This window comes from Homo sapiens, chromosome 16, assembly GCF_000001405.40.
Source record: "Homo sapiens chromosome 16, GRCh38.p14 Primary Assembly".
In the NCBI taxonomy this organism is placed as follows: Eukaryota; Metazoa; Chordata; class Mammalia; order Primates; family Hominidae; genus Homo; species Homo sapiens.
This window is the reverse complement of record NC_000016.10, coordinates 16162547-16181771: the sequence shown is the minus strand read 5'-3', so window position 1 is coordinate 16181771 and position 19225 is coordinate 16162547. Positions and strand designations below refer to the sequence as shown.

The window sequence follows — 19225 nt, the reverse complement described above, 5'->3', positions numbered from 1 at the left end:
TAGTAGAGACAGGGTTTCACCATGTTGGCCAGGCTGGTCTCAAACTCCGGACCTCAGGTGATCTCCCCATTTACCTCAGAGACAAAGCCCAAGTCATGACAATCCCTGGCAAGGTCCCTGTGACCTGGCTCTGGTATCCATTAGCCCCATCTCCCATCATCACCTCTCAGCTTTACTGCAGCCACCTTAGTCTCTGTGATATTCCCTGATCCCCCACAGCACACTCTGGCCCCAGGGCCTTTGCACTGCTGTTCCCTCTGCTGGAAAGCTCTCCCCAGGAGTCCCCAGGGCTCATCCCTCACTTCTATCACCTTCACAGAGAGGCCTTTCCTGACCACCTTATCTACCACCACAGCCACCCTACTATTGTTAGTGCACCCTACACCTGCACCTGCTTTTTCTCTTTTTTTTTTTTTTTTTTTTTTTTCTGAGACGGAGTCTCGCTCTGTTGCCCAGGCTGGAGTGCAGTGGCACAATCTTGGCTCACTGTAACCTCCACCTCCTGAGTTCAAGCATTCCTCCCACCTCAGCCTCATGAGTAGTTCAAGCAATCCTCCCACCTCAGCCTCATGAGTAGCTAGAATTACAGCCATGTACCACCACAACTGGCTAATTTTTTTTTGTACTTTTAGTAGAGATGGGGTTTCACCATGTTGGCCAGGCTGGTCTTGAACTTCTGACCTCAAGTGATCCACCCAGCTCCGCCTCCCAAAGTGCTGGGATTACAGGCGTGAGCCCCTGAACCTGGCTCCCCCTGCTTTACTATTTATTCTTCATAGCACTTTCCACCTGATGTGCTGTCTGCCTTACTTGTTTATGGATTGCCTGTCTCTGTCCCCTTCATGAGAATGATGGATCCATTAAGAGAGCAGCAACTTTGTTTTGCTCATTGCTGTTTCTCCAGAGCCTAGAACCATGCCTGGTTTATGATAACGAGGCAGTGGTTATTAGTGGAATGACTGAATGTAAGAATGAATGAATGGCTGGGTACGGTGGCTCATGCCTGTAATCCCAGCACTTTGGGAAGCCAAGGCGGGAGGGTTGCTTGAGGTCAGGAGTTTGAGACCAGCCTGGCCAACATGGTGAAGCCCCATCTCTACTAAAAATACAAAAATTAGCCAGGCATGGTGGCGTACCTGTAATCCCAGCTACTTGGGAGGCTGAGGCAGGAGAATCGCTTGAACCCAGTAGGCAGAGGTTGCAGTGAGCCGAGATCAAGCCATTGCACTCCAGCCTGGGTGTCAGAGTGGAACTCCATCTCAAAAATAAATAAAAATAAGTTTTAAAAGAATGAATGAAAGACAAGAAGGCCTAGATAGAAGGAATAAGTTAAAGTAATCAATAGTGCACAAGGGAAATTATAGTTAATGATCATTTACTTGTATATTTCAAGATAGCTAGAAGAGAAGGATGGTTGTGTTCGCAATACAAAAGATAAATATTTGAGGTGATGACTATCTCAGTTACCCTGATTTGATCATTACATATTGTCTACAGCAGGGGTCCCCAACCCCCGGGCCATGGATCAGCACCAGTCTGTGGCCTGTTAGGAACTGGGCAGGCAGCACAGCAGGAGGTGGGCAGAGGGCAGGCGAGTGAGGTTTCATCTGTATTTACAGCCATTCCTTATTGTTCCCATCACCGCCTGAGCTCCACCTCCTGTCAGATCAGTGGCAGCATTAGATTCTCATAGGAGCACAAACCCTACTGTAAACTGCACATGTGAGGGATCTTATGAGAATCTAATGCCTGATGATCTGTCACTGCCTCCCATCATCCCCAGAAGGGACTATCTAGTTTCAGGAAAACAAGCTCAGGGCTCCCACTGATACTGCATGATGGTGAGTCATTATATATTACAATGCAATAATAATACAAGTAGGCCGGGCGCAGTGGCTCACGCCTGTAATCCCAGCACTTTGGGAGGCCAAGGTGGGCGGATCACCTGAGGGCAGGAGTTCGAGACCAGCCTGGCCACCATGGTGAAACCCCATCTCTACTAAAAATACAGAAACTAGCCAGGCGTGGTAGTGGGTGCCTGTAATTCCAGCTACTCAGGAGGCTGAGGCAGGAGAATTGCTTGAACCCAGGAGGCAGAGGTTGCAGTGAGTCAAGATCATGCCATTGCACTCCCAGCCTGGGTGACAAGAGCAAAACTCCATCTCAATAATAACAACGACAACAGCAGTAATAATAATAATAGAAGTGCACAATCAACGTAATGTGCTTGAATCGTCCTGAAACCATCCCCCGGGCCATCCCCCTGCCCCCAGGTCCATGGAAAAATCGTCTTCTACAAAACTGGTCCCTGGTGCCAAAAAGGCTGGGGACCACTGCCCTACAGGTATCCAAATACCACTTGTGCCCCTCGAATAGTTACAACTATTACATATCAATGAAAACTAAAAGAAAACAATTAAAATTTAAAATACAAAAGTAGGACTGAAAAGCTGCCACTGGATGAGGGAATAGGGAAATGGATGGTGGTCTCAGTGGAGAAAGGGAAACAAGAGTTGGACTCAAAGAGATAGAGAGAGTGAGCAGGAGGAGACAGAGTGGATTGGGAAGTGTAGGTAACTCCTCCAGGAAGCGTGCTTGGGAAGTGGAGAAGTGAGGTCGGGTAAGGATGGAGGCATTGTTGGCTTGAGAGCGAGTGCCTTGGAAGCTGGGCCTGTCCCCAGGGAATAGGCATGTTGAGCTGTACCTCACCCTGATGGGCAGGTGTGCCCTGACCTGCCACAGCCTGGGCACCCCAGTTTCACCCTGTAGATGCTGACTCAGGCCACTGTTCCTTTTGTGGCCACAGGGCATGAATCTCTCCGGAGGCCAGAAGCAGCGGCTGAGCCTGGCCCGGGCTGTATACAGAAAGGCAGCTGTGTACCTGCTGGATGACCCCCTGGCGGCCCTGGATGCCCACGTTGGCCAGCATGTCTTCAACCAGGTCATTGGGCCTGGTGGACTACTCCAGGGAACAGTAAGTTTGGGAACATGTGTCAGACAGTACAGGGCAAAGGCAGAGGAAGCACTTAGCATCCAGTCCTAACCCAAGTTTATCTCACCTCCCCCTTCCACTTGAGTCCAATTTCCTCTTTGTATTGGTCAGCTTTTGCTGTGACAATGCTATGTAACAAACAACCCCCAGATCCCAGCAGCTTACAACAGCAGGTGTTTCTTCCTTATGGATCTGTGATTTAACTACTACAGCTTTGCCTTGGATGATTGGCCAGGGTCAGATGTACTCCTTGTCTTCTTGTTTTGAGACACAGGCTAAGGGAGTCCCCTCTGTTTCTCTATTTGGATATGCTGTTTACAAGAAAGGCGGCAGGAGCACAAGAAGGGGAGCTGTCCCCACTCTGAGTCCAGGGACAATACCCCCACCCCAACCCCCAGCTCAGGAGGCTGGCCAAGCACATGTGTGTAACTTTTTTCTTTTTCTTTTTTTTTTGAGATGGAGTCTCGCTCTGTCTTTCAGTCTGGAGGGCAGTGGTGCGATCTCCGCTCACTGGAAGCTCCGGCTCCCGGGTTCACGCCATTCTCCTGCCTCAGCCTCCCGAGTAGCTGGGACTACAGGTGCCCGCCACCACGCCCAGCTAATTTTTTGTATTTTTAGTAGAGAAAGGGTTTCACCATGTTGGCCAGGCTGGTCTCGAACTCCTGACCTCAGGTGATCCATCTGCCTCGGCCTCCCAAAGTGCTGGGATTACAGGCATGAGCCACTGCGCTCGGCCGTACATTTTTTTTTTCTTTCTTTCTCTCTCTCTCTCTTTCCTTCCTTCCTTTGTTTCTTTTCTTTTCTTCTTTCTTTTCTTCTCTTTCTTTCTTTCCTTTCTTGACAGAGTCTTGCTCTGTCACCCAGGATGGAGTGCTGTGGTCCAATCTCGCCTCACTGCAAGCTCCACCTCCCAGGTTTAAGTGATTCTCTTGCCTTAGCCTCCAAAGTAGCTGAGACTACAGGTGTGCGCCACCTCACCTAGCTAATTTTTGTATTTTTAGTAGAGATGGGGCTTAGCCGTGTCAGCCAGGCTGGTCTCGAACTTCTGGCCTCAAGTGATCCACATGCTTTGGCTTCCCAAAGTGTTGGGATTACAGGCATGAGCCACTGCACCCGGCCACATGTGTGTAACTTCTACCCCTTCCCTGCCCAGACACGGATTCTCGTGACGCACGCACTCCACATCCTGCCCCAGGCTGATTGGATCATAGTGCTGGCAAATGGGGCCATCGCAGAGATGGGTTCCTACCAGGAGCTTCTGCAGAGGAAGGGGGCCCTCATGTGTCTTCTGGATCAAGCCAGACAGCCAGGAGATAGAGGAGAAGGAGGTACTAGGTGGGCTTTGCTGATTCTCCAGGCCTGGCTCCTGCCACCCTTGGGGGAAAAGGCTCGAAGGGTCCTACTGGCATGAATGGAGTGCTCTGGCCACACCCTGTCTGCAGGCCTAGGCCTGGAAGCAGACAGCTCTCTTAATAGGTCACCTTTCTCCAAGAATAGCCGATAACATCATCCATGAGCCAGGGGTTGTGCTAAGTGCTTCTGTAAAAAATACACTATTTCATTTGATTCTCACACATGCCCCAGAGGCATGTGAAGTTATTGCTGTCATTTTACAGATGAGCAAACTGAGGCAAAGAGAGTTAAATCACTTGCCCAAGGTCACAAGATTAGAACTTGAGTATGTCCAGCTCCAGAGTCTATGCTTGCAGTTGCTATGGAGACAGCCCAAGAAGGACTTTGATGCCTAGCAAGCTACACCATGCTAGCTAGGGTTTCTAATAATCCAGAAAAACAGTGTGCTGGATACATGGCAAGGTTCTGGAAGTAAAGTTGCCAAGCCAAGCTCACTCACAATGACTGAAAAGTAGCAACTAACAGCACATCACAGAGGTTAGCTCATTTAATCAACATAATGCCCCTGTGAGGCTGGTACTAGAATCATTTCCATTTCACAGATGAGGAAACTGAGGCCCAGAAGTTAAGGAACTAGTCCCAGGTTACATGGCTTGTAAGTGGCAGCACTGGGATTTGAACCCAAGCAACTTGATTCCAGAGAATGTGTTTTTTAATTGCTACCCTCTACACTATCCCTTCATGACAAAGCAAGGATTCACATCCAGGTCTCCCTCAATCTCAGGCTTTGCTTCTTCTGAGAACATCTGCTTAGCACTGGCCCAACCTGGTTAAAACCTTAAGTGTTGATTCACAATGTCACAGTCCTGAAGCTTGAAGATAGAACTTGCCTGTTTGTGTTGGTCAGCTTTTGCTGTGATGATGCTGTGTAACAAATAGCCCCCCAAATCCTAGCAGCTTACAGTAGCAGTTACTTGTTGCTTACAGGTCTGTGGTTAAACTACTACAGATTTGCTTTCAGTTACTGGCCACACCTGGGGGATAGTGGTGGGGAGGTGTCCTTCCTAGGGGAGATGGTACCTGAGGGTAGGTGAGAGTTAGCCAGAAAAAAGCATTCCAGACACAAGGAACTGCTTGAGCAAGGCTGTTGGGGGAAACAGAGGTAACTTGACTTTGTACAGTGTTAAATGCTGTTTTTCCAACCTCAAGTTCATAGTAGGTGCTCAGTTATCACTGATTGAAGAAATGAATGAGTGAGTGAATGCCTGAAGGATGTTCCTGGAAGAACTCAGAGTGGGGTGTTGAGAGAGGTTGCTGGAGACGTGGCAGGAGCCAGATCAGGGGAAATGGATGGTCAGAGCGGTTAAGGCCACATAGTCAGTGGGTGTCAAAGTGGGTATCTGGGCCGTGTTGCGTGACAGGACTCTCTTGACCTTGCAGAAACAGAACCTGGGACCAGCACCAAGGACCCCAGAGGCACCTCTGCAGGCAGGAGGCCCGAGCTTAGACGCGAGAGGTGAGTCCACCATGGTGCCACACTCAGAAGGGCACAGGCTGAAGCTGAAGTAGCTGAAGGGACCACCCGCATCTCGGGCAGTTAGGCGGGCAACCAAAACCATTATGGATAGAGAACCTGCTGAAGTCCCCCCCATGGTGCCCTGCTGAGGGATAATTTACCAAAATTGGTCCAGTTAGCCAAGATGATTAGGCCCCTATAAGGCCAGTTCATGGAATGAACAATATGCCTTCCAATTGATGGATGTCTTCAAGTGGGCCGAGGCCAGCTTGCTGGAGTTGTCTGAATGCTGCAGTAGGGCAGGACTGGTTCCTCCCCATAGCTGTAAACCACCATGCCAGGCCTGGCCACTTATGCTTTGACAGGCTGGCTATGCACAGGGCTTGGGTCTGTATGCACAGCATCACTTGACGCTGGCCAGAACACGTGGGCAAGGGGCCAGGAGGAGGCCTCCGGTCCCCTCTTTTCTCAGCTCCCTCCAGCCAGGACACAGCTGGGCTCACTGTGGAGCTGTCGGCAGCAGAAGGACCTGCTGCCTGATACTCTCCCCTCTTAATGAGAGGGGTCTTGGGAAGCAGAACAACAGGCCACTGATACCAGATGGCCTGAGCTTAAGTGCCTGCTATACAGGGGTGGTGGGCGGCAGCGATCTTGAGGGGCCTCAGTCCCCAGGGACCATTGGGGCTGACCCCCATCCCAGCTAGCCACCCTGAGGGCACTTCTCAATCACACACACACTGAGAAATCCCACCACCTTCACAGCGCACAAGAATCTGAAGTAAGATCAGATGGATAGGTAGTCATGTTAAAAGAAAACCAGTAGACACATTAAGGCTGGGCATGGTGGCTCACACCTGTAATCCCAGCACTTTGGGAAACTGAAGCGGGTGGATCACTAGCTAGAGGTCAGGAGTTCGAGACCAGCCTGGCCAACATGGTGAACCCGTCTCTACTAAAAATAAAAAATAAGTAAATTAAAAAAAAAAAGCCGGCGTGGTGGCATGTGCCTGTAGTCCCAGCTACTCGGGAGGCTGAGGCACGAGAATCACTTGAACCTCGGAGGCGGAGGTTGCAGTGAGCCGAGATTGTGCCAAATTAACCTCTAGCAAATTTAATGTGTCTGAGGTTTTTTGTTTTTTGCGGGGGGGGGTTTTGAGACAGAATCTTGCTCTGTCGCCCAGGCTGGAGTGCAATGGCACAATCTCGGCTCACTGCAATCCCCGTCTCCCAGGTTCAAGCGATTCTCATGCCTCAGTCTCTTGAGTAGCTGGGACTACAGGCACATGTGACCAGGCCCGGCTAATTTTTGTATTTTTAGTAGAGACAGGGTTTTGCCATGTTGTCCAGGATGGTCTCAAACTCCTGACTTCAGGTGTTCCACCTGCCTCAGCCTCCCAAAGTGCTGGGATTACACGCGTGAGCCACTGCACCTGGCTAACAGAGGTTAACTAAGCAAAGAATGATCCGCACATCGGGCAGTCCCTGAACCAGAATACGTCCAGAGAGGCTCTGGTACAGCCACGGGGTCAAAGATTAATAGACAGAAAAAGGAAGGTGAAGGACAGAAAACAGAAGTGAGGTACAGAAACAGCCGGATTGGTTACAGCTCAGCGTTTGCTTTATTGGAACATGGTTTGAACGGTTGGTTGCCTTTGATTGGCTGAAACTCAGTGATTGACACAGGAGTAGGTTGCAGTCTGTTTGAGTCCAATTAGGTTACAGTTCACTATGTACGGGGAAAACCTTTAGGCCAAACTTAAAATATGTAAGGAGGCAGCTTTGGGCTAACCTCAATTTAATAGAAGGTAGGTAGACATGTATATGTAGATATACAGGTATGTAGATGAATGGATAAATGGATGGATGGATAGATAGATAATATTCCTATTTTTACAGCTGAGGAAACTGAGGCACAGAGGTTAAGTCAGCCCACTCATCCACAGATAAAACATTCAAAGAGTCTTTAGCATCTGAATTGTGCATAATTTATATTCTGCCAGTTGGACTGACAAATCTGATGGTATACAGTAGGAACAAAACAATTGCACGAAAGCTTAAGCCAAAATAAAAATTCTGAGAACAGGCTGGGCATGGTGGCTCATGCCTGTAATCCCAGCACTTTGGGAGGCTGAGGCAGGTGGATTGCTTGAGCTCAGGAGTTTGAGACCAACCTGGGCAATGCAGCAAGACCCCATCTCAAAAAAAAAAAAAAAAGAAAATTCTGAGAACAGAGTTCCAATGGTGGGCAAGTTAAGTTCATCCTGTGAATTGGCATCAGAAGAATGGGCTTGCTTGACCCTGGGGTAATAGATGGCATTTAGCTGGGTACCATATGGGAAGAAGGGAAGTGTGATATCTGGTCAGTATTCTGTTAGATAAATGAATGAATGAAAGAGTACAGAGTGTACCCAGAGCTCAGTGGCTGTCAGTGGGCCTGAGGGTTAGGCACATACACCCCACCATTGGGAGAGATACTGACTTTGTCTTCATTTCCTCTAAATGACAGGTCCATCAAGTCAGTCCCTGAGAAGGACCGTACCACTTCAGAAGCCCAGACAGAGGTTCCTCTGGATGACCCTGACAGGGCAGGATGGCCAGCAGGAAAGGACAGCATCCAATACGGCAGGGTAACCACCAGCTTCACCCACCCCTCCCCACCCACTGCTGCCACCTCCAGGGGCCCAAGTCTTCCCACCAAATGTAGCACTTGGCAGTGATACTCACCTTTCTTGAGCACCTACTATGTGCCAGTAGCATTCTAGATGTTCATTTTCTTAATCCTCACAACCACCCTAAAAAATAGATATGATAGGTCTATTTCAGACATAAAGAAACTGAATTCTTTTAAAATTTATTTTATTTTGATTTTGAGAAAGTGGCTCGCTCACTCACCCAGGCTGGACCGCAGTGATGTAATCATAGCTCACTGCAGCCTCGACCTCCTGGGCTAAAGCAATCCTCCTACCTCAGTCTCTCAAGTAGCTGGGACTACAGGCGTGTGCCACCATGCCCAGCTAATGTTTGTATTTTCAGTAGAGATGGGTTTTGCCATGTTGCCCAGGTTGGTCTGGAACTCCTGGGCTCAAGTGATCCTCTGGCCTCTGCCTCCCAAAGTGCTGGGGTTACAGGTGTGAGCCACTGTGCCCAGCCAAGAAACTGAAGTCTTAAACAGTTAAGAGACTTGTTTGTGTTTTCATATCTAGCCTGGGACACAACCTGGGACTCAAATCTAGGCCAATCTGAGTCTGAAGCTTACACTGTTTCTCATCTTCTATACTGCTATGTATCTCCACCCACCTACTTACCCATTCCATCATCCACCTAGATGCTCATCCACCCACCCACCTATCCATCCCACCCACTCATTTATCCATCCCATCCATTCACCTACCCACTGATTTATCCATCCCACCCACCCATTTATCCATCCCACCCACTCATTTATCCATCCATCCCACCCCCTCATTTATCCATCCCACCCACTCATTTAGCCATCCCACCCACTCATTTAGCCATCCCACCCACTCATTTAGCCATCCCACCCACTCATTTAGCCATCCCACCCACCCATTTAGCCATCCCACCCACTCATACCCATTTATCCATCCCACTCACTCATTTATGCATCCCACCCACTCATTTATCCATCCCACCCACCCATTTATCCATCCCACCCACCCATTTATCCATCCCACTCACTCATTTATGCATCCCACCCACTCATTTATCCATCCCACCCACCCATTTATCCATCCCACTCACTCATTTATGCATCCCATCCATTCATTTATCCATCCCACCCACTCATTTAGCCATCCCACCCACTCATTTATCCATCCCACCCACTCATTTATCCATCCCACTCATTTATGCATCCCACCTACTCATTTATCCATCCCACCCTCCCATTTATCCATCCCATCCACTTATTTATCCATCCCACCCACCCAACCACTCATTTATCCATCCCACCCACCCATTTATCCACCCACCCACCCACCCATTCATTTATCCATCCATCCCACCTACTCATTTATCCATCCCTCCCACCAACTCATTTATCCATCCCACCCACTCATTTATCCATCCATCCCACCCACTCATTTATCTGTCCATCCCATCCACTCATTTATCCATCTATCCCACCCACTCATTTATCTGTCCAACCCATCCACTCACCCACCTACTCATTTATCCATCCCATTCGCTTACCCATCCATCTATCCCACCTAACAATACATCCAACCATTCCCTCACCTATGCATCTGTCTGTTCAGCTGTTCATCCATTCATTGATCTTTCCATCCATTCATCCACTCATTCACACACCTACCTACCTACCCACCCGCTCATTTATTCACCCACCTACCCTCTCATCCATCCAGCAAACATGTACACAATACCCACTATGTGCCAGGCTAAGTCTGGTAGAGATTAGACACTAGTGAGGATAGACGGAGAGTAAATAATTATGCTAATAAGTAAGCTATGTCCAATAACAATAAGTGCTATAAAGAAAATAAGAATGATCAGGCGCAGTGGCTCATGCCTGTAATCCCAACACTTTCAGAGGCTGAGGCAGGAGGATTGCTTGAGGCCAGGAGTTCGAGGCTGCAGTGAGCTATGATCATGTCACTGCAATCCAGCCTGGGTGACAGAGTGAGACCCTGCCTCTTAAAAGAAAGAATGATGAAATAGAGACCACTGAGAAACCCTACCATGGTTGGTATGGACAGGATGCTCTGAGAAGTGACATTTGAGCTTCCCCAAAGAATGTGTGAAGGAACCAGTCATACAAAGGGCAGGAGAAAGAGCGCTCCAGGCAGAGAGAGCAGCAGGTGCAATGGCTCCGAGGTGGGAAGTAGCTTAGGGTGCCAGAGAAAGGGGTCCCATGAGGCTGGCAGGCAGTGAGTGGGGGCGAGATAAGAAGCTTGGAATTTCTTTCTTTCTTTCTTTCTTTCTTTCTTTCTTTTTTTTTTTTTTTTTTTTTTGAGACAGAGTTTCACTCTTGTCGCCCAGAGAAGAGTGTAATGGTGCAATCTCAGCTCACTGCAACCTCCACCTCCTGGCTTCAAACGATTCTCTTGCCTTAGCCTCTCGAGTAGCTGGGACTACAGGTGCCTGCCACCACACGTGGCTAATTTTTGTATTTTTAGTAGAGACGGGGTTTCACTACGTTGGTCCAGGCTGGTCTCAAACTCCTGAGCTCAGGTGACACACCCGCCTTGGCCTCCCAAAGTGCTTACAGGTATGAGCCACCCCTCCTGGCTGGGATTTCTTCTAAGAGCAAGAGATAGCCATGGACAGGCCAACGACAAGATATAATTAGATTAATGTTTTCAACAGTCCCGTCTGGCTGCAGCTGTGCAGAGAACTTCAGATTTGTAGGAGCAGGACCTTAAGCCAGTGGCTGAACCTCTCTGTGCCTCAGTTTCCTTATCTGTGAAATGGAGGTTGTTATAAGGAGAGACACATGCCTGACCTATGGTGGGTGTTCAAGAAAACCCTTCTAGCTGGGTGTGGTGGCTCACACCTGTAATCCAAGCACTTTGGAAGGCCGAGGAGGGAGGATCACTTGAGGCCAGGAGTCTGAGACTAGCCTGGGCAACACAGCGAGATTCCATCTCTTTAAAACTATGAAAATTAACAAAACATGGTGGTACAAACCTATAGTCCTGACTACTCGGGAGGCTGAGGCGGGGGGATTACTTGAGCCTAGGAGTTCAAGGCTGCAGTGAGCCATGATCATGCCAGTGTACTCCAGCCTGGGTGACATGGGCGACAAAGCAAGACCCTGTCCTCAAAAAAAAAACAAAAGAAAAAATATTAATACTAGCTCCCTGGGGATTGTATAGGAGATGGGGGTTCTAAGGCTGGCTGGGGCCTGTCGGGGAAATGGTGCTTCTGGTGGGAGGCACAGCGGGAGAACCAGTGAGGTCTGCGTGGTGGTCCCATCTGCCATGGGCATGTTTTCTGGGAGCCTCGCCTGGCCTTGCCTCAACCCACCCCTCCCACTGGGGGCTCTCTCTGCCTCCCTCTCCCTCATGTGTGCTACAGGTGAAGGCCACAGTGCACCTGGCCTACCTGCGTGCCGTGGGCACCCCCCTCTGCCTCTACGCACTCTTCCTCTTCCTCTGCCAGCAAGTGGCCTCCTTCTGCCGGGGCTACTGGCTGAGCCTGTGGGCGGACGACCCTGCAGTAGGTGGGCAGCAGACGCAGGCAGCCCTGCGTGGCGGGATCTTCGGGCTCCTCGGCTGTCTCCAAGGTACGCCTCACCTGCCCTCCTCATCCCTCTCCTCCCAGCTGCACCAAGGGGTGCTCAGGACTCCTTTACCCCACCCCTCCCTGGGTCACCCTGTCCCCCTGGAACAGTGTGCAAAACGTCTGGGGTCCAGGCAAAGATCTGCGTCCTTAAGATGAGGCTGGAGGGAACGGGAAGGACAGGGCACATCCCTCCTTTTCTGGAAGCTTCAGAACCTCTCCCAGTCCCTCCCCACTAGCGGAAGGCGTCTGCAAGGCCTGCCTGCTGGTGGCTTTCAGTGCCTGCCCCCAAACCTCCAGACAGAGCCAGACCCTCCCTAACAAATGCATCACCGCTATCACTCCTTCTTCTCCTCCTCAAAAATGGAAAGACTTCTTCTTGAAATAATTGTAGATTCACATGCAGTTCTAGGAAATAAGGCAGCCAGCTACCTTGAACAGTCTGCCCAGTTTCTCCCATTGGTGATATTTTGCAAACTGATAGTAAAGTATCACACAAAGGATCCTGACACCCATCAATCCATGGATCTCAATTATTTATTTATTTATTTATTTGTTTATTTTATTTTGAGACAGAGTCTTGCTCTGTTGCCCGGGCTGGAGGGCAGTGCTGCCGTCTCGGCTCACTGCAACCCCCATCTCCGAGGTTCAAGCAGTTCTCCTACCTCAGCTTCCTGAGTAGCTGGAAGCTGGGATTACAAGTGTGCAGCCTGGTTAATTTTTGTATTTTTAGTAGAGATGGGGTTTCACCATGTTGGCCAAGCTGGTCTCGAACTCCTGACCTCAAATGATCTGCCCGCCTCGGCCTCCCAGAGTGTTGGGATTACAGGTGTGAGCCCCCGCACCCGGCCCTATGGATCTCATTGTGATTTCCCCAGTTTTGCTTGCACGTGGGTGTGCGCATGTTTGCCTCTGTGCAGTCGTATCCCCTGTTCAGTCTCTCGCATCCATCACGATGGTTGACAGTTGAGATACTGAACAACCCCCTCACCACGAGGCGCTCTCGTGTTGCCCTTTTGCAACCACACCCACCCTTCTCCTGCCTCGCCCACCCTGTCCCCAACCCCTGGTTCTTCTCCTTTTAATACGTGGCCTGGCTGAAGGGAGTAACAGGAGTGCACATGTGAGTTTGGCTTCTTATTTATACACACACACACATATATATAGACTGGGTCTGGCTTTGTCACCCAGGCTGGAATGCAGTGGCACGAACTCGGCTCACTGCAACCTCTGCCTCCTGGGCTCAAGCAATCCTCCCACCTCAGCCTCCCGAGTAGCTGGGACTACATGCACATGCCACCATGCTGGCTAATTTTTGTTTTTGATAGAGACGGTTTCGCCGTGTTGCCCAGGCTGGTCTCAAACTCCTGGGCTCAGGCAATCCTCCGCCTCAACCTCCCAAAGTGTTGGGATCACAGGCATGAGCCACCACGCCCGGCCTGGCTTCATCTTTAAAGGACAGTTGCCTCGTTTTCATGTTGATTCGTCCTCATTCACTGGGTGACATTGGCCACATCACCAAAATGCTGTGAGCCTGTGACCTCCCCTGTAAAATAGGGGGCGCCAGGCCTGAACTTGAGGACTCTTCTAGTCCTAAGAACCTGTACACCTACTCACCACAACTGCATGTACAGTGGAATACTCAAGGCGAATGGTTACTTAACCAAGAGGAAATTAGGGATTCTCAGAGTCAGCCGAGCCCTGGAATTAACCCAAATCCTCATTTGGGTGGCAAATAGCCCTTTCAAAATCCTTCCACTTCCATCCCTCATTTGATAGCTAAGGGCAAGTCTTACTCTCCCCTAAAGATGGAGAGATGGGAGCTGAGAGAGAGAAATTGGTTATGACTCTCGAATACAAAGAATAAAAAATTCAGCTCCAGGCCAGATACGGTGGCTCATGCCTGTAATCCCAGCACTTTGGGAGGCCGAGGCGGGTGGATCACTTGAGGTCAGGAGTTCAAGATCAGCCTGGCGAACATGGTGAAACCCCGTCTCTACTAAAAATACAAAAATTAGCCAGGCATGGTGTCAGTGTTTGTAATCCCAGCTACTTGGGAGGCTGAGGAAGGAGAATCGCTTGAACCTGGGAGGTGGGGTTTGCAGTGAGCAGAGATTGCACCACTGCACTCCAGCCTGGGTGACAGAGCAGGACTCCGTCTGAAAATAAACAAATTCAGCTCCAATTCAAAGTGTTTAAGCAACAAGAGAATTGATTGGCTCTTGGGACCAGTATCCCTAGATTTCTGGCTTCAGGTATGGCTGGATGTAGGGGTCCAAACAAGAAATCGCTTTATTTCCCTCCTCTGTGACAGCTTCCTGTCCAGCTTAGCTGCTCCCCCTGGCAGTAAGATGATATTCCACGGCTCCAGCTTGGCTACCTCCAACAACCAAGTACCACTTTTCCAAAAGTTCTAGTGAAGTCCCAGGTCTCCCTGTCATTGGCCTGACTTGGGTTATGTGTTCATCCCTGAACCAACTGCAGTGGTTTGGATTGGCCATGGGTGAAATTTGCCCCACCCCAGAGGAGAAGTTAGCCCCACCCCAGGCATACAGATTAGCACTGGGAGGAAGGATGTGCATTTCTCTCACAGGGCTACTGCCAAACAAGTTGCCACAAACTTGGGAGCCCAGCACAATTGAAATTTGTTCTGTCGCAGTTCTGAGGCCTGAAGTCTAAAATCAAGGTGTCAGCAGTGTTAACTCTTTGTGGAGGTTTTTTTGGTTTTTTTGTTTGTTTGTTTGTTTTTTCTGAGACGGAGTCTTGCTCTGTCAACCAGGCTGGAGTGCAGTAGCACGATCTCGGCTTATGGCTCACTGCAACCTCTGCCTCCTGGGTTCCAGTGTTTCTCCTGACTCAGCCTCCTGAGTAGCTAGGACTACAGGTGCCTGCCACCACGCCCAGCTAATTTTTGTATTTTTAGTAGAGAGTAGGGTTTAGTAGGGTTTCACCGTGTTGCTCAGGCTGGTCTCGAACTCCTGACCTCAGGTGATCCACCCGCCTTGGCCTCCCAAAGTGCTGTGATTACAGGCATGAGCCACTGTGCCCGGCCCCTCGTGGAGGTTCTGATGGAGAATACGCCCCAGGCTTCTCTCCTGGTTTCTGGTGGTCGCCGGCAGTCGCTGGCATTCCTTGGCTTGTAGATACACCCTCCCATCTGTGTCGCCATCTTCATATCTCCTGCTGTGTCTCTGAGTATCCTCTAGTATTCTTATATAAATGGCAGTCACTGAATTTAGGACCCATCCCAAATGAATTTTGGGGGACACTCTTCAACCCATTACATCAAGAAACAAGCAGGGTACAGGCGCAGTGGCTCATGCCTGTCATCTCAGCACTTTGGGAGGCCAAGGCAGGCAGATCACTTGATCCCAGGAGTTCGAGACCAGCCTGGACAGCATAGCAAGATCCCATCTCTACAAAAATACCCCAAATTAGCCGGCATGGTGGCGTACACCTGTGGTCCCAGCTACTCGGAGGGTGAGGCGGGAGGATCGCTTGAGTGCAGGAGGTCAAGGCTGCACTGAGCCATCATCATGCTACTGCACTTCAACATGGGTGACAGAGTGAGACCCTGTCTCAAAAAAATATAATAATCAGGGTGGCCAAGCCATAAGATGTCCACCATGGGGTAGCGGGAGAGACCTGCGCAGGGCCCCGTGGGCCGCTCCTGAGGGTCTCCAGCCCTCATGCTCTTACCTCCTCTCCCTCCCCAGCCATTGGGCTGTTTGCCTCCATGGCTGCGGTGCTCCTAGGTGGGGCCCGGGCATCCAGGTTGCTCTTCCAGAGGCTCCTGTGGGATGTGGTGCGATCTCCCATCAGCTTCTTTGAGCGGACACCCATTGGTCACCTGCTAAACCGCTTCTCCAAGGAGACAGACACGGTTGACGTGGACATTCCAGACAAACTCCGGTCCCTGCTGATGTACGCCTTTGGACTCCTGGAGGTCAGCCTGGTGGTGGCAGTGGCTACCCCACTGGCCACTGTGGCCATCCTGCCACTGTTTCTCCTCTACGCTGGGTTTCAGGTACGGAGAGGTCAGGGAGGCTTCCGGGACCGGCTGAGGTCAACTCAGCCAGTCCCCTGTCTCTGGGGAAGACTCCATATATGAGGTTTCACCCAGCTGGACATCTAGGGGCTGTTCCTAGAATTCCCAGGGACAGGGACACTACAGTCTTTCTGGTATCTCCACTAGTGTCTGTCTCTAAATGTTCACATCAAAGTTCTTTTTTTTAGAGAGACAGAATCTTGCTCTCCTGCCAAGGCTGAAGTGCAATAGGTGATCATAGCTCCCTGCAGCCTTGAACTCCTGGGTTCAGGTGATCCTCCTACCTCAGCCTCTCAAGTAGCTGGGACTACAGGCACGTGCCACCATGACTGGCTAATTTTTAAATTTATTTTTGTAGGACAAGTGTCTTCCTGTGTTGCCCAGGCTGGTCTCGAATTCCTGGCCCCAAGTGATCCTCCCACCTTGGCCTCCCAAAGTTCTGGGATTACAGGGCATGAGCCCCTGTGCCCCACGGCACAGTTAAATATTAAGGGCCAGAGCCTTTCACGCGTAATGTTTTTATCCTGCCGTAATTTCTTCCTCTCCAATTATCTGGAAGCCAAAAAGGCATTGCAAGGTCTCAAAGGCTATTATATGAAGCTAGATTCTTTCAATTGCTGGGACCAGCAACCAACTAAAATTAGCTTAACCAAAAGAATAGAATTTAATGGCTTATATTTCCTTGGGGGCATGGGCCCAGTTGTCATCAGGACACAGTGACTCTCTCCATATCTTCACTCAGTGCTTCTCAAAGTGTGACCCCAGGACCAGCAGTAGTATCACCTGGGGACTAGTTAGCAAAGTACATTCTTAGGCCCCAGCCCAGGACTACTGCCTCAGATACTATGTGGGTCGGCCCATGAATCTAGGTTTTAATTAACCCTCCAAGTAATTCTGATGTACACAAATGTTTAGGAACCACTGGCTTACCTCTGGTCTAATTTTGTACACGCTCTCTTTCCAGGGCAGGTCTTATGGCCACTAGCTATCATATCATCTCACCTTAGCAACTCAACATGCAAAAAACGTTTCTTCAGCTCAGTAGTCATATATTAATCCCAGGGAAGGTTCTGATTGGCCCTTTGTGGATCATGTGTCCATCTCTGAACTCGTCACAGTAACTGAATGGATAGTAGATTCTGATACACTAGGCTGCATCATGTGACCACCTCTCTGATCAGGTCCCATGATTGACAGCACCCCAACCCAGCCCTTTCCCACAGGAAACCAGAAGTAGAAAACATGGTAGTCAGATAAAAACCATGGCTAGGGCTAGGCATGGTGGCTCACACATCTAATCACAGCACTTTGGGAGGCTGAGGTGGGCAGATCACTTGAGGTCAGGAGTTCGAGACCAGCCTGGTCAACATGGTGAAACTCCGTCTACTAAAAATACAAAAATTTAGCCAGTGTGGTGGCGCATGCTTGTAATCCCAGCTTCTTGGGAGGATGAGGCGGGAGGATTGCTTGAGCCCGGGAGGCAGAGGTTGCAGCGAGCTGAGATTGCACCACTGCACTCCAGCCTGGGTGACAGAGAGAGACTCCATCTCAAAAAACAAACAACAAAACCCATGGCTACCACTGTCCCCGACAATTGTCCTAGGTCTTCTCTAAGTTCACTTGACTCCGAGGATGGGCTGTTTCTGTCTCAAGCTTTAGAGTCAAGCAAAGATGGGTTTAAATCCAGGCTCTATCACTTACTGTGGCACTCAGGACAGCTGCTGAATCCCCCGAGCCTTGGATGTTCTCACCACTAACTGATGAATGACGCGAATGCTCACTCTGCAATGAATGAGACACTGTGTGAAAAGCCTGGCACATACAGTTGGGTGTTCAGCAAATTCAGTTCCTCCCTGCCTGCCTGTCTGCCAGCTGCACCCAACCTGCAGCTGCAAACCAAATAACGAATATTTTCTGCACATCACCTGGCATGTAACCCTTGGGTTACATGAGTGAAACTGACTTGGCCAACTGCCTTCATTGCCCCTTACAGTTTTGTTCTCCCACTGACCAGCCGTAAATGAAGTAGTCGGCCTCAGTGCTGGGAAGTGAGACACTTAAACTAAATTGGTGGTTTCTCAACCCTGGCTGTCCCTTAGAATCATCTGGAAGGCTATTTAAACAGCACCAAAGTCAAGGTGACATTTCCAGAGATTCCGATTCAGTCATTCTGGGGTGGGGCATTAGAGGTTTTTGAAGCTCCCCAGGTGATTTTCAAAAAAACCATAGAACTCTGATTCTGCAAGGAAATGAGAACCCAGAGAGGGCAAGCAACTAGCCCAAGGTCACACAGTAAGCTGTTAACAGATCCTGGTCTGGAATCCTGTACTTGGGGCTCTCTGTGCTTCTGGAAACTACCTCTCTATGTCTGTGGCTTCTCCTCTTCCCTCTCCCATCCATCCTTCTCAGAGCCTGTATGTGGTTAGCTCATGCCAGCTGAGACGCTTGGAGTCAGCCAGCTACTCGTCTGTCTGCTCCCACATGGCTGAGACGTTCCAGGGCAGCACAGTGGTCCGGGCATTCCGAACCCAGGCCCCCTTTGTGGCTCAGAACAATGCTCGCGTAGATGAAAGCCAGAGGATCAGTTTCCCGCGACTGGTGGCTGACAGGTAGGAAGAGCCAGGGCAGAGAAGACCTTGCAATTCATCCATATCCTTAGAGGGTGAGACCTGAGGTCATATTGTATGGTAGAGAGGTCACCCAGAGAGTCAGGGACATAGTTGAGGCTAGATCCCACAGGCAGTCTATCAGTTCTCACCGTGGGCAGATGGAACATGACCGAGAGATTCTCAACAGCAGGTGGGCGGGGGGTACAGGAAGAAGCTTCTGTTGCCAGGCAACTGGATCAACCTCTTTTGCCTTGGTGATAAAGCAGCCATATAAGCATCCTCAGCCATCTTTAGGTACTAAGCAAGAACAAGAACACAAGCTTTAAGCACAAATAGACACAGGTTCAAATCCCAGCTCTGCCACTTACCAGCTGGTTGATTTCAGGCAAGTTACATAACCTCTCTGAGCCTCATTTGTCAAACTGGGATCGTGCTCATGGAGTGGA

General features: G+C 49.9%; 1 protein-coding gene across 8 annotated transcripts in view; it reads left to right on the top strand.

Moving 5' to 3' along the window:
• Positions 1-19225, top strand: part of ABCC6 (ATP binding cassette subfamily C member 6) — a 73930-nt gene that overhangs the window by 41723 nt on the left and 12982 nt on the right. For 3 of the 8 annotated variants that reach the window (NR_199642.1, NM_001171.6, NM_001351800.1), the window contains 7 exon segments: positions 2807-2974; positions 4146-4320; positions 5786-5861; positions 8368-8488; positions 11919-12126; positions 15839-16149; positions 18580-18779. Coding sequence is in view for 4 of the 8 variants with exons in the window: in NM_001171.6 (NP_001162.5) it covers positions 2807-2974; positions 4146-4320; positions 5786-5861; positions 8368-8488; positions 11919-12126; positions 15839-16149; positions 18580-18779 (1259 nt within the window). In the remaining 4 variants the exon portion in view is untranslated. 8 annotated transcript variants of the gene reach the window in all.